The 16768-nt window shown below is 34.1% G+C and overlaps 1 protein-coding gene across 2 annotated transcripts in view; it reads left to right on the top strand.

Moving 5' to 3' along the window:
* USH2A (usherin) overlaps nt 1-16768 on the top strand; it is an 800558-nt gene that overhangs the window by 91695 nt on the left and 692095 nt on the right. For both annotated transcript variants that reach the window (NM_206933.4, NM_007123.6), the window contains exons 5-9: nt 4100-4163; nt 6155-6449; nt 7402-7586; nt 8059-8280; nt 9778-9871. In NM_206933.4, the coding sequence (NP_996816.3) occupies nt 4100-4163; nt 6155-6449; nt 7402-7586; nt 8059-8280; nt 9778-9871 (860 nt within the window). The remainder of the gene's footprint in view (nt 1-4099; nt 4164-6154; nt 6450-7401; nt 7587-8058; nt 8281-9777; nt 9872-16768) is intronic.

Below are 16768 nucleotides of genomic sequence, written 5' to 3'. Positions count from 1 at the left end.
CAGTGCTAATAAAATAGTATTTAAAAGTTTTAATTTCCATTGGTTAATCACTAGTATATAGAAATTAAATTATTACTCATTTAACTTCTATCAAACAAAATTAACTAATTCACTTGTTATTTCTAATAGCTTTTATGTACAGTCATGGAAATTTTCTGAGTAGATAATTATGCTATCTGCAAATGAGAGTTTATTTCTTTCCTTCTGATTGTTGTGACATTTGTTACTTAGCCTTATTATCTGTTTTTACCCTGATTTATATGTTGGATTACTTAGTTTTCCCATTTGACTAATTTTGTTGTGCCACCCAGTTGTAATGCATAACAACTTCTTTCCAGTCATCACCTGTCTATTTTCTGACTAGACAGCTATGAGGTCTTTCTTGTATGAGTCATGTCTATTTCCTTGATCAATTTATATAATTTAGACATATCTTTGCCATATGAATATTTTTCAAAGAAGAATTTTTATGGAATGTTTATCCCAATGAATATCTGTTGTTAAAAAATTGGCAAGTAGCAAAGGAATAAGTAAAATTTATTTCTATGGCTGTCCTTGAAATATTTGATAGTATTCTCACCTCAAATCATAATTCTTTTATTTGGGATGGATGATTCACATTAACTCTAGGTCTTTAGAAAACTTGCTGTAACTCTTTTTTATGAAGAATTTCTTCAAATATGAATTCTTTAGCAATGGATATGATTGCAAGCTCCAAAATTTAAAACTAAAATGGTTTTTAAAGGTTATAAAACCCAGCCCCTTTATTTTATAGATAATAAAATAGATTTCATTATCCCCCTGCAGCAGAGCTTCCCTTTAGCTATTATTAAAATATAGGGAGTGAATTCTAATTTATCAGCATTGAAAGGTACACCTCCACTTCTAATACCCTGGTCTGACTGCCAACATTTTTCACACATATGACTGTAATATCCTCCTAACTGGCCTCTTGGCTTCTACTCTTATCTTCCTATATTCTAGTCTCAGAACTTTTGAATAATCCTGAGATCACATCACTCCTCTTCTCAAAACCCTCCAATGGCTTCCCATTTTACTCAGACCAGAAATCAAATTTCTTACAGTAGGCTATTAGACTTTGTATATATAACAATTTGTACCTCCATCCTCCCCTCTCCCCCAGCCAGCTACTTGTCTGACCTAACCTTCTAATAACCTCCCCCCTTTTATTCTGCTCCAGGATGCTAGCTCCTTGCACCTCCTCTAACATGCCAAGCATACTGATTTAGAGGTCTATGTGCTTATTAATGCCTGCCTGGAACATTTTGCCCCTAGATATACGTATGACTCATTCCCATTCCCCTGTCAATGCCACATTCTCAATGAGGCCTCTCTTGGACATAACATCCCCACTAAAATCTAGCCATGCTCTCCAACCTGCTCTAATCCTTCTGTTTTTCATAAAATGTATTGCATTCTAATATACTATATGAATTTCTCATTCATTATGTTTATCTACGTGAATGCAAGCTCCATAAAAGCAAGGGTATTTTGTTGTTGTTGTTAACTGATTGTACTTTTGGCACTCGTGAAAGTGCCTGGCACATAATAGGCTTCCAATAAATACTTGTGAATGAATCAATACGTAAAAGAATGAAGCCACCCTGACATTTAAAGCCATGGTTCAGGCTTTAGCAACATCACAGTGTTCATCAGTTTTGCTGTCTTTCAGTTATGGTAAGTCTTTCAAAATTATGAATGGCTAGCCCCTGTTTGTTATGATCTGGGTTCTTTGAGATAAAACACTTCCCTAGAGGTTATATAAAATATTTTAGACAATATTTTATCCTGAGAAAGCAAATTGGATAACATGAAATGCAGGTAATTTCTTTTTTTCTCCTTGATATCTCATTATGTTGGCAAAAATAGGAAATGAAGACTGTCAGTTTTCCACGGCTGCCATGCAAAAGTACTGCAAACTGGGTGGCTTCTCCCAGAAAGAGAATGCCTAGGACTATAGCGGGGCACAGAAAGTTCCCCACAAGGAGTATTTCAAAGCTGAGACATTAGGGGCTGTATGAGGCAGAAAAATTGGAAGCAGAGGCAAAATGGGAACCTTAGGGCTGAGAGAGCCTGAAGGTTGTGGGGCATTAAAAATTCATGCTGTAGATTAACAGTGTGGGGTGTAAAGGATGCTAGGAGAGGAAGAACTGAGCATGGTTAGGGATAGTTGAAGGTAAAGAAAAAACGGGACACAGGCCCAGCTTCCTTGACAACATTATCTCTTACCTCATAAATAAAATTTATGCTATGAGGAGTGACTTTCCTATTCGTCTTTCCTATTCCCCAAATAAAAGCATAGGCACACAATGGCTTTGCTGTATTTGCATGTATTCTTCTCATCTTTCTTCTAAGAATGACATGTCCATCTTTCTACCATTCCCTCTTTGTTTAACTTTAGATCCTGGATCCAGGTCAATTGATCATAAATCATGTTGCCTGGATGGCCAATTAACTGAAAGAATATTTTACCATGTTTTCTTATTTCTTGTAACTAATTATAAATTTTAGAACAATTTGTGTTGGAAATCTTCTAAAGATTTCTGCAAAGTTTTAGTAGATTTAGTTTTGTCTTCATAACACCACTTGGAGGAATAATTCTTTGCACTTGTGCCAGCTGCCTGTTTTAGGATAGATAGAGTAGAGAAACTCTCCCTACGGGAAAGTCAGAGCAGGAGGCTGCCTAGAGCACATCTTCTTGTGGGCCTCAGCTCATGGGGTATGTGGAAGACTGAGACTAATGGGTAGAAAGAGAGAGCCTATAAGTGTATTTTTCTTAGACTACATCAGCTGAGAATACACTAATGAAGAAATATTTTTATATGTAATATTTTGGTTATTTTCTCAAATATATTATTTAATATAAATATAACATGTAAATATATGAATATACACAAATATATGCATACACACACTCACACACAGACACATACTCTTTTTAGGCTCCTAAGTCTCACACTTTGCTTGTGAGTTTCTTCCTGATTCTGAGATCACTATCTCAGACTACTTCGTGTGCTAATTCTCCTCTCCATGTTTTATTTATCAGCCATATCCTCACTCTGTCCCAGTTTCCTCCAAGCAACCACCAAGGAGCAGCAGAAAACATAAATCAAACATTCTTTAAAACTCTATCAAGACAGAGTGAAAACTGAATAGTTAAAAGAAAAAACACATTGGGAAAATGGTCATTTGATGATTAAAATTGCTCCAATTTTATTTTTTTAGAACTATTGAAATAAACAATTATTGAAATAAATTTTGTTATTAAAAATATAACAAAAAACTTGGAGTCGGTAGTTTTTCTGCTTTATTCTGTCTCCACTCTCTTGGGCTTATTTGTCTCAGTAAGTTCTGAAAAAATATTTGCCAAACAAATAAAATAATACCATGTGGATTAAGGTTGATAGCTACATTTGCCTTGAAAGGTCACCTAATTCAAAGTAGATTGGTCTTTGAACCTGGTTTTCTTAGAAGATTTTCCCTGAGGCAATAAAATTCTGAGAGTGAACTATGATACTATTGATATATGTGAATGACACAGAACCTACAAGTAGGAAGTCTTCGATGAGTCCTCATTTGGAGATTTTCTAGAACAGACATTAATTTAACTTTAGAGAGAACCCAAACAGATAGCCTGGAGCTTGGAGCTATAACAGGTGGGATGTGAGAGTGAGGAATCTTCCTTTTGGCATTGCAAATACTCTGGAAATTGCAATCAGAAGCAGATGACAATCAAATTTAGGGCTGATGAGATAATATATCTATGGAGTTATAAACTAGAGAGAAATTTGACTTGGGAAGGGACTTCTGGAGAAAGCCATGAGTTCGATCAGTAAATAGGCTGGCCAAAGTATTCACTTTGACTTAAGTCCTACAGTGTCCATGGAGATAACTATGATTATTTTTGTTATTAATGTGGAATTAGCAAACTAGAGATTGATCTGTAAAAGTTTCAAAGGGCAGTGACATAAATATCTTTTTAACCTTAACATCTTCAAAGGAATATCACTTAAATACTTGTCAGGTATTGCTTGGTAAACAGAGACTTCTTATATTATGCACATGTGTGTATTTGCAGGTTTAGAGCAGTTTGTCGGAAGAATGCAAGATTTTCGATTATACCAAGTGGCACTTACAAACAGGTAAGCAGATGTTGCATTGTAAACCTCAAGAACCGAAAGGATAAATGCTGAATTCACTTAAATAAGAATACTATGTAGATTATACCATTTTTTATCTTTATACCATTTGGCAAACTTCACCTAATTAATGTTTACAGTGTTTGCTTTGGCTTAGTCTATGGTTGTTATTCACTAGTGCTACTCTTGAGGAACTCCTTGTAATATGAAATTGATCACATTTTTCCTAAGGATATTCTGTAAGAAAACTTGATATTTGAACATTTTATAAAACTTGGGATACAATGCTTAAATTTTCTATATGAGGTAGTTTCTATTAACAATACTTGAGAAACTTCTACATCTGCCTTTTTTAAATTGGTTTGTTGACTTTATACCTACTAGAGAATGTAGAACAATAAACGTGATTAATTATTTTGATACATGGGAAATTCTCAAGAGACTGATCTATTAGACTTGGAGACAAGAAGAATGAGCATTTGAAGTATTGTGATATATTTTTCTATTTTCAGTGAACAAATAATTATATAGACTCAGGCTAGCTTTAATGACATTATTTCCTTATCTTGAGAGTAGATGGGAAATCTTTCTTAGGGCTTCTTAAAAGCACACAGAATTTTAAAAAATTTAAGTGAAATTCTGCTTAGGATGCCTTTGAACTTTCTTCTTCAGCTTATGATATCATGGTATAATAGTATATTGTTGTATGGATGAGTTGATCTTATTTACTTCTATTAAAAATCAAAAAGAAGAATGTTCATTCATATTTCTTCAAGGCAGATATAAATTAGTGTGGTGGGTTTCCAAATGAGAAGACTAGCCCTTGTAAATTTAGAAGCATTGCTTTTGATGTGGTTCTTAGTCCATGGCAGATCATTAACAATATAAACATTCTTTCTTACCAGGCTATATAATCAAGGTATGCCTCAGTAAAGGGTGCCATGGCCCTGGAACACAGTGTTAGGTGTATTTACTGCCAAAAGCCTTACTATATTTTAGATCACCTTTGTCTAAAATGCTGAAGGGCAATGTTGTAGTAATTCTTTGGGAATAAAGTTTTTCCTTGGGAGTGAAAGATTTTATACTGGATTCTATACTGGTAGCTTTTGGTCCCATTCAAAACTTGGTATCAGTTGAAAAGAATTGATGAGATTTAAAGAAGGTATGACTTCATGTGATTTAATGAATGGAAAAGCTGCCTGACTCCTTCACTGCTCCACTGGGGTCTGAGAGGAAAAGCCTGGTTTCTCTGGTAAGACCTTGATTACTAATTTTGGCCTACCTGAAATGTCTGGGAAGGTGCTATGTGGAAGAATGCCTATAAATAGAATGACTAATTCTGGTCTAGAACAAGTATATTGCCCCTAATGGAAAAATTAAATATATCTACCTGGAATTGGCATTCTTTGACTGTTGGCAGCCGCCATATGATCTGAAGCCAATGAAGCATTACAGGATGTCAGGATCTGTACTGATGAGTCACAGGAAACCATTGACAAATGGCCTTGGCCTCAGTCCTTCACTTAAAACAGAAGCAGATAAAATGATACTTGCTTTCGTACTTCTTTCCCATGGATGAACTGAAAACATTATCTATAACTCTCATTGTTCTCCATATATTATTGTTCACTCTCAGTAGTTAGTTTAGCATCCTAAGTAAATGTGATCATTTCTATATTATCACAAATAGACACGGTAAAATATTGTGGTATTTAAATAAGTATCTTAATAATCAGACAAGGGCTTATGCATGCTTCTTGATATAAATAAAAAGTTAATATTAAAATGTGTGGGTTTTGATATACATTTTATGATAATGAATTTGTTTATTTGGCCAAAAATAAGTTTTATTTTATGTTTCATGCATCAAATTATTAAAACTAAATGGATACTCATGAAAGCACTAAACGAGTGACATTCATTTGTAACGACTCCTAGAAGTTCTATTACTGTTAAGCTCTTTGTCCTTACAGTCTCCCTCTTGACTCCCACAGAGAGATTCTGGAAGTCTTCTCTGGAGATCTTCTCAGATTGCATGCCCAATCACATTGCCGTTGCCCTGGCAGCCACCCGCGGGTCCACCCTTTGGCACAGCGGTACTGCATTCCTAATGATGCAGGAGACACAGCTGATAATAGAGTGTCACGGTTGAATCCTGAAGCCCATCCTCTCTCTTTTGTCAATGATAATGATGTTGGTACTTCATGGGTTTCAAATGTGTTTACAAACATTACACAGCTTAATCAAGGAGTGACTATTTCAGTTGATTTGGAAAATGGACAGTATCAGGTAATGAGAAACGATAAGGTGTACATTAATTTCCTGTGGTTATTGCAACAAATGCCCACAAACTTCATGTCTTAAAACAACAGAAATATATTCCCTAACAGTTCTGGAGATCAGAAATATGAAATCAACATGTTGGCAGGGCTACATTCCCTTAAAGATTCCAGAGGAGGATCCCTCCTTGCCATTTGCAGCTCCTGGTGGCCCTTGGTGTTACTTGGCTTGTGGCACCACAACTTCAATCTCTGCCTCCATTTTCACATGGTGTCCTTCCTTGTTTCTCTGTGAGCATCAATTATCCCTTTTCTTTCTCTTATATAAGGCCCACCCTATTAGACCCAGGATGATCTCATATTGACATCCTTAATTATACTGCAAAGACCCTATTTACAAATAAAGTCACATTTACAGGTTTGGACAGTAGTACTTGGACATATCTATTTGGGAACACAATTCAACCCACTACAAGGTGAAAACTGAACTAGGCAATTGAACCTTGCCTCAATAAAGTAGTGTATTATAATGTATACAATAAAAATATCTAAAAGACAACATGTAGGACCTTATGTTTGAGATTTGTATCAAAATGATATTTATGAAATGTTGAAAATAATTATTTTTATTAAGTAGCAAAAATTAATACAAACTAAGGTGCTTTTTCTAAATTAAGAAGTCTCTATATATGACATTTATTTCATAGAAGTAATGTTCTTTGTTTATGTCTTTATTTGCATGTTGATTTATAAAATCCTTGAGCAAATGAACAGATACACAATTATAGAATATGTTGCTTTTACCACAGGGCTATGAAGTTTCTGGATGTCTAATACATATTTGATAACTATAATTATGATGAAGTGAGCCAATATATTTGAATCTAATAATTCCATGGTTTGATATATACTGATGGTTAAACTTAAAACTTTAATTACATTAATTAACTTTCCATTTTCAGGTGTTTTATATTATCATTCAGTTCTTTAGTCCACAACCAACGGAAATAAGGATTCAAAGGAAGAAGGAAAATAGTTTAGATTGGGAGGACTGGCAATATTTTGCCAGGAATTGTGGTGCTTTTGGAATGAAAAACAATGGAGATTTGGAAAAACCTGATTCTGTCAACTGTCTTCAGCTTTCCAAGTATGAATATTTTTAAACAATTAATTTAATAGACTGATTGGTTATTAATAATGTACAAGTATGCTAGCTCTCTAGGCTGGTGGAGACTTCCCTTCACCACCAACTTCCTTGAGGCAGATTCTCCTAAGTCTTATCCCTAAATTGGGCTTAAAACTATGTTTAAAGTTCTTGTAAAAGACATTAGAGTGACTCTTATTTCAATCTCACTGATGTTTCACAATCTGATTTTCAGATTGTTTGGCAAGTTATCTATGTAAATAGAATTTTCATTATGTTTTCAAGGAACTGTTTTAGTGTGGCTTTCTATGATAATCCTGTATTGTTTATATATGAAATATATGGAATATGCTTTTCCTAGAATGAATAATTTAAGCTTTTATTGATACTGTGTAGTAATTTCTCAACATTTTGATTTCTGTTTTGCCAAAAATGTGAATAGATTTTCATGACATCGAATTTCTTTCATTAACAGTTTTACTCCATATTCCCGTGGCAATGTCACATTTAGCATCCTGACACCTGGACCAAATTATCGTCCTGGATACAATAACTTCTATAATACCCCATCTCTTCAAGAGTTCGTAAAAGCCACGCAAATAAGGTTTCATTTTCATGGGCAGTACTATACAACTGAGACTGCTGTTAACCTCAGACACAGATATTATGCAGTGGACGAAATCACCATTAGTGGGAGGTATTATTATGAATTTTGTTTTCAACAAGGTTTTTGTCATACTTACTGTCTTAACAGCACATTAAGATGTCAGAGCAAGCCAGATTTCAAGCTTTACATTTTGAAATGATTTCATACTCTAAGATTTTAGGGGAAGATCTGTATGTGAGTCTTTTCTCTATATAACATTGTTATATATATATATATATATATATATAAAACGTATTTTATAAATAAATATATATATATTTATATATACAGGAATTGATTTTCAAAAGCTGTTGCTTTTAGAAGCTATGATACTCTGAATCTGACTTAGAAGTGATTTATCCAATATTTTACTTGATTTGTTCTGGAATATAATTTTCAAATATTCTCAAAAGCAAAGAGATGGAGCTGAATTTGGAGTTGTAACTATAGCACCAGAGAGTTTTTAAGTACAGATCTTGATCTACCTGAGTTCATAGTGCACAGTTCCATGGGTAATACTTGTTTTTCTTTAGTGGAAAGATCTGATATGCCCTAAGTAGTTTATAAATGTCTGATCATAATTGAGAACATGACTCACAATATTTAAAAAGAAATGACAGCTGCAAACCTAGGCAGCATACTGTCTAATATAGAAATGTACATATAGAGTATATTTAGAATGGATTGTTCTGGAGGAATGATAGGCCTTGTGAATAAAATATGTCTTTAAAAGCAGACCAAAATACCAGTATATAAGCATTGTTTGTTTGCTAAGTCATAGCATAATGAACAAAGCAATACTATTAAATATTCATCATCTAACTTTGGAAAAAAAAATAAAAAAATTGAAATATGTTAACTGCATTCTGCAGTTTATTGTCAACTTTATATTCTTTTTTCTTTCTTTTTTTTTTTTTTTTGACAGGCTTTTGCTCTGTCACCCAGGCTGGCATGCAATGGCATGATCATGGCTCGTTGCAACCTCGACTTCTGGGCCTCAAGTGATCCTCTCATCTCAGCCTCCAAAGTAACTGGGACTACAGGCATGTGCCACCATGCCCAGCTGATTTTTTTTTTCACTTTTTGTAGAGATGGGGTTTTGCCATGTTGCTCAGGCTGCTCTCAAACTCCTGACCTCAAGTGATCTACCCGCCTGAGTCTCCCAACATGCTGAGATTACAGGCGTGAGCCACCGTGCTCAGCCTGAACTTTATATTCTTAACTGTATTTTAAATAGTGTAGTAAATGCCTTCCCTTGGTACGTGGTTGGTATAGATATAAAAAATTCCATTTCCCTTTAGAGGTTGGCTTGAAAATTATCTTTACAATACACGGGTTTGGATATTGGTGACAGTCCTTCTGACATTTCCAGATAAATTAAAAACGTGTATGGATATCCACACGATTAAGGAGAAACTGATTTTGTATCAATTAAATATACAAAAATCTTCCCTGTTAAATTCACATAATGCATATAGTCCTAGGACCTTAAATATATTCACAGTTGAGTTGGTGTTCCTTAGGAGTGTGTGATGCTCATGTTTGCAGATGTCAGTGCCATGGTCATGCCGATAACTGCGACACAACAAGCCAGCCATATAGATGCCTCTGCTCCCAGGAGAGCTTCACTGAAGGACTTCATGTGAGTTCTATTTTATGCATGGAAATCTAAAAAAAAAATAGTAGAGATGGTGACTATAAATTCTATGAACTTAATCTTGGCCTAACAAATGAAAATAAATTTAAAAACTGATATGAACTTAAAATGTCAATTATTGCAGATTTTTTAAGAAAAATAACAGCCATCAATTAAGTTGAAATTGTAGTTTTTAAAAATAATTTCAGCCAGAGAAATTACAACTGAAACCAAACCCTAAGGTTCTTTTCTCTTTTGTTTTTCTTTCTTTGTTTCATCAGCATTATCATGTTTTATAAAACAATTTTTAATGTGTTTGGATAGCATGGCACTAAACAAAAAATAGTTTGATTCTTACTAAAGGGTATTTATACAAAAGTATCAATAAACAAAAGCATCGTTAGATGAAGAACAATGTTTATGTATTTATGTCAATCAAGGTTCATTTATTGCTAATATCAGGCATTTTAATTAATTGAAAATCTATAGTAAAATGATTTATGAGTTATGTTACTTTAGTTTTCTGTGACGATCAGGGGAATTCCATAGTTGAGGTGGAATTTTAGCTTCATCTTTAGGGAAAAGAGGTAAGTGGAAATAAAATCAAGAAACATTCGTTGGTAGGAATATCTAGCAACAACATCAGAAATAGCTGATATGAAAGACGGTTCAGCAGCAGTAACAATTATACCAATAATGAGAGTAGATAATATAGACTCTTCAGTAAATATGTTTAAGACAACTGGCTGCTAATTTGCAAGAAAATAAAATTAGAGCTCTACTGATTGTATGTACAAAAATGTATGTGGCTTAAACTTTTAGTGAAAAATAACTATAAATATATTAAAATAAAGATTAGAATTCTATATCTTAAGTTGAGGGCTTTTATCAGCTAAGCAAATGAAATACAAACAGAAACAAACATCTGGAGCTATGAAGGAAATTAATGACATATTCTGTTATATAAATATTTAAAATTCTACACAGTATAAGGGTTAACATAAATGTAAGGTAGTGATAAATGATGGATTGATAGAAAATATTTGCATCATGTTAACAGGTAAAGAGTTAAGATTCCTAACACACAAACATTTACAAAATATTAAGAAAAATATAACAGTCTGATAAAAATGAGCAAATATATGAACAAGCAATTTACAAATGAACAAATTGTAACTTTAATAAACATATAAAAGATTACCCAACCTCAGTTTTAATCATATTCAACAATTGTTTTTAACATTTCAAATTAGCAGAAAATATAAAGATTGGTAATATTTAGTACTTGTGGGAATATAACCTTTAACACATCACTGATGGGATTGCCAATTGACACAATAGTTTTGGGGAAAATTTGTCCACCTCTACTAAAATTAAATTTTCAAATATAGTGAACTACATTATATAATTGCTGTCATTCTGAAAAGCAGTTCTTCAATGACAAGTGTATGGAATGGTGTATTAGTCTGTTTGCATTGCTGTACAGGAAGACCTGAGACTAGGTAAATATAAAGAAAAGAGGTTTATTTGGCTTGTGGTACTGCAGGCTATACAAGCTTGGTGCCAGCATCTGCTTGGTTTCTGGTGAGGCCTCAGAAAGCTTACAATCATGGCAGAAGGCAAAGCCAGAAGCCAGCCTCTTTTAAACAGCCGTGTCTAAACAGCCATGAACTAACAGAGTGAGGTCTCACTGCTGAAGGGAAGGCACTTCATGAAGGATCCACCTCCATAACCCAAACATCTCCCACCAGGCTCACCTCCAACACTGGGGATCACATTTCAACATGAGATTTGGAGGGGACAAACATACAAACTATATAAAATGCTTATATTTCTATCATTTTGTTACATAAATATGGGCTTATATGTTAGTGCATTTTAGCTTTTCAGATGGTAGCACTGTCTCATACACTCATGTATGACTTGTGAACATCTCTGCCTCTTGGACCTTGCCCTACACTTGTGTTTTAGTTAGTTACTTCACTTCTCTGTGAAATTTATTTTAGGATATTATAGAGCATCTTGCTTTTTAAAAAACCATCTGTAAAGGTTTTGGCAAATTCCATTTCTGTCTTCTGATTCTTACTCTGATCTAATTTGCTTTTGACTGTAACATTAGTGAGAATAGTTCAATGGTAAGAATATTATCTATAATGCAGACTTTCTCTAGCACATTCAAAACGTAGTCCCACTCCTCAGTTTCAACTAAGAGTCTTTGATTTAGTTATGGCCTACTTTCTTTCTTTCTTTCTATGTGCTCAGACCAAAACTTTCATGTTCTAATTTAGATATTCTTTTGAATTTATTTTCTAGATCACTACTTTATATACATCTAGTCCTCACCATTAGTCAATACTTGCTTTAAAAGAAGAAATCTTTTATGGTTTTCTTTTGGATTTCTAATGCCTAGAGTCTTTGCATTTGATTTCATTAGTATATTATGAGGAAAAATCTTTTAGAAGAACTGATTTTAATATGCTTGATTGTATGGCTTATCATATTGTCACAGAAATGAAATTAATTGGATTAACTTGATTGATTTATTCTTCACTGAGCCATAATTGTGTGTTTAAATTTTTGCCAATTTTATTTGTTCTAGATTTTAAAGTTAAAGCAACATTTATTATATTTTTCTACTGTCTTCTTTTGATCCCTTAAGATGGACACTTACTTCCTTATAATCAGTGATTTCTTTCATTAACCTTGTCCTCTCCTCCACAAAGCCACTAACACCCCAATTAAAAAATGCTTTGGGATGAATTTAGCAGGGCACCTTGAACTGAATATGTCTAGTATTTGCAAGCTACAGTTTGGCTAATACCTTCATATGATATGTTCTTTTCTGAGCTTCTCTTGCTTTCTGTTGACTAGTCAGTCGGTATTAGTCTCTCTCATTTGCTTGTGACGTCCTGTCTTGTTTTATCTTTCTGTCTTTAATTGCTCACAGTTAAGTGTTGGATATTTTCTGATTCTTGGATGATTTCATGCTTCCCCTTAAAAATAGAGCCATTAAATGAATGAAGGCTCATGATTGGTTTCAGAAGACAAGTTGGGATTTTCAGACTTGGTCTCAGGTGGTGAATGTTGGATTATGAACTAGTGAATTAATTAACTATAATTTGGGTTGAGAATACATTTTAATGCTTCTTATTTAGACCTTAAGTACCTTTTGAAAACAAAAATGAAAAACTAAACTTTTTTTGTTATTTTCCTCCTTGACATATTTTGATAGTTTATGAATTTAGCCATAAATTTTAAAAAGCAACAAATATAATTTACTTAGCAAACTTTGGCAAATGCAAATGCAGCTGCAGGGAAAAAGTCAATAGACTGTTAAGTTGAATGATTTCTCAGTCCTATGATATTTTCAATAATGTGTTGAAAATGAAAAATGATTTTATAGAAACATTCATAGGCATGACATTCTCCTTTGTTACCATTCAAAGTATTTTAATACAAGTAGAGACTTACATATCTGAGAAAAGTCGTCTTACGGTAATTTGAAAATATACCTATTCTAATGCTTTTCTTGTTGTTCTACTTTTTAAAATTATACGTTTTAATATAAGCCATTCACTTCCTATTGGGATCCATGTTCTTTTTAAGACCTGGACATAATCCAAAAAGAATGTCTTCAATTCCACAGTGTTATGCTATCCATTAATAATATTACTTAATAAACAGGGCTTTTGTGAATTATATTACAGACATTTGGCAAACAGATGAAAATGTAAGGACTGAAAATATGCCAATTCTTGGCAATTGTCTTTCCTATGAGAAAGTGTTTTTAGTAGAAACAAAAATGAATGAAGTTGAGAAAAGGTGAATGGTGAATTCAGGGGCAGGTTCACATATTTAGCCATCCTAAGGAATTTTCCGTACAAAATACTATTCATTTGTTTATAAGGTCAATGTCACAAATTGGTGGCTCACAGGTAGAAACAGTGTTTAAACAGTTTTAATTTAATTTTCTGCAAGAGTTTTCACTTTAAAATATTTATTTATTCTTCAATCTTTTTTATTTATTTATTTTTTTGAGAGGGAGTCTCACTCTGTCACCGAGGCTGGAGTGCAGTGGCATGATCTTGGCTCACTGCAACCTCAGCCTCTCAGCTTCAAGCAATTCTTCTGCCTCAGTCTCCCAAGTAGCTGGGACTACAGCTGCACACCACCACACGCGGCTAACTTTTTGTATTTTTTTTTTTGTAGAGATGGGTTTCACCTTGTTGGCCAGGCAGGTCTTGAACTCCTGACCTCAAGTGCTCCACCTGCCTCGGACTCCCAAAGTGCTGGGATTACAGGCATGAGCCACCACTCCTGGCCCTCAACTTTTATTTTAAGTTCAGAGGAACATGTGTAGGATGTGCAGGTTTGTTACTTAGGTAAAGGTGTGCCATGGTGGCTTGTTGCATAGATCATCCCCTCACCTAGGTATTAAGTCCAGAAACCATTAGCTATTCCTCCTGATGCTCTTCCCCCCACAGCCCCCACCATCCCTAAGAGGCCCCAATGTGTGTTGTTCCCCGACATGTGTCCATGTGTTCTCATAATTCGGATCCCACTTGTAAGTGAGAATACGTAATGTTTGATTTTTTGTACCGGCATTATTTTGCTGAGAATAATGACTTCCAACTCTATTCATGTCCCTGCAAATGATTTATATTTCTGGTAATACACAGTAATGGGATTGCTGGGTCAAATGGTATTTCTGCCTCTAGATCTTTGAGGAATTTCCACACTGTCTTCCACAATGGTTGAACTATTTATACTCCCACCAACAGTGTAAAGGTGTTCCCTTTTCTCCACAACCTTGGAGCTTCTGCACAGCAAAAGAAACTATGGTCAGAGTGAACAGACAACCTATAGAAGGGGAGAATATTTTTGCATTCTATCCATCTGACAAAGGTATAATATCCAGAGTCTAGAAGGAACTTAAACAAATTTACAAGAAGAAAACAACCCCATTAAAAACTGGGCAAAGAACCCTGAGTTAGCGAGTTGTTGCCAGGGGAGGACATTAATGTCTTCTTTTGAGAACTGTCTGTTCATGTTCATTGCCCAATTTTTAATGGGGTTGTTTGTTTGAGAACAGTTCTCAAAAGAAGACATATGTGTGGCCAACAAACGTATGAAAAAAAGCTCAGCATCACTGATCATTAGAGAAATGCATATCAAAACCACAATGAGATACCAGCTCATGCCAGTCAGAATGGCGATTATTAAAAGTTAAAAAATGACACAAATTTTTAATTCCTCACTTCTCTTAATCAGAACATAGTCTAACACTGTGTCCATTTCCTGCCATCAACAACTCACTGATTCAGGGTGACATTTACCACATTTACAACAGTATCACTCTTGGGCTTGCTACAACATTCACTACTATGTATATCCTTATACATGGGCGACATCACTTTGGTGAACTACCTGGCCTTGAAAGACTCGGAGCTTCTTAACCTCCTAAAGCAAAACTGATGGATAGATTGAGACACTAGAAGCTAGAATACATTTTTAATTATTCTGAGTAGAGAAAGACCAGCTGTTCATTGCTATATTCATTGTTAACTCCTATTTCTTTTACCCCTTTATAAAAATAAAAACTCACAAATAACCGAAAACAACTCAAGAAAATCTATTAGCAAAGACACTGTTTACTCTGAGATGAAATTAAAGCCATGCTTACTTTTTTTTTAATTACATTTTTGACATCTAAAAACATTTACCTTGGGGAGCCTCACTGATTCTCCTCTGCACTCTTTGACCAGGAACTCCGATACATTTTTGTATTGTACTGGCAATTTTAAGGCCTTGACTTTAATGTATGATACATACCATAAATACTTCACTCATAGAGAATACTTTTAGAATACTTGTCGCATTTCTTTCCAAGAATGAAAAAAAAGCAGTAAATGCTTAATTTACTAGGCTCACTTTAGAACTGATTTAGGGTGAAACAAATCCAAAAGCCTAGATGCTATTCATTAACTTTCATACAAAGTTAAATATTTCAAAGTAGAAATTAGAAATACATGGTATTGAACTTGCATGAATCATTATATATCTCACAAGTTACAAACATGTTATTTATAAATGTTTAATTTCATTTGAATAAAAAATAGCCACTGTTACTTGCATTTTTAAGTAAACTTTTAATTTTGAGATAATTATAGATTTATATACAGTTGTAAAAAATAATATAAAGACAATTTGTGTACTCTACCAATTTGTCCCATGGTAACATCTGGCAAAACTAGTGTTTTTTTCTTTTTACATCAAAAGTGTGATTTGTGTACAATAAAATATACCCACTTAAAAATATATAGTTTGATGAGTTTTGGCATATGTGTACCCTGTGTAATCACCATCCCTGTCTAGAGATGGAATGTTTCACTCTCCCAAACGTTCTCTTATGCTTCTTTGCAGTCAGTGCTGTCTCTGAACCCCCAATCCCAGGAAACCACCAATCTTATTTCTATCAATACAGATTAGTTTTGCCTGTTCCAAAATTTCTTAGCATAGTGTTATTTGGTATGTAATATTTTCGTACATAGGCTTTTAAATCCCACCTCACCCCCACTTTTAGATCATTCCCTAATTACATGTGCTGTTAGCTTTACTGCAACATGGTATCTCTGGCCCACTTAATCAGAAATCCATTATAAGTATCAAAGTGTATATATTAAGCTCATAGGTACATAATACAAGCTAGGAATTGGAAGCCTGGGTTTATCTGTCAACTAACATATTTGCAAAGCTATAATATATTTATTACTTCTTTTTCTTATCTAGTACTTTCTTTACTTGATCTAAGAGTTCAAGTGTTGAATAGAATCTAGTTTTAAGAAAAGTGTTGTCAGTTGAAACTTGAATCCTTATGAGTTGTCTTTTTCCTTTAATAACTAC

This window comes from Homo sapiens, chromosome 1 (genome assembly GCF_000001405.40).
Source record: "Homo sapiens chromosome 1, GRCh38.p14 Primary Assembly".
Classification (NCBI taxonomy): Eukaryota; Metazoa; Chordata; class Mammalia; order Primates; family Hominidae; genus Homo; species Homo sapiens.
The sequence above is the reverse complement of the archived record's forward strand: the minus strand, read 5'-3'. Positions and strand labels throughout refer to the sequence as shown.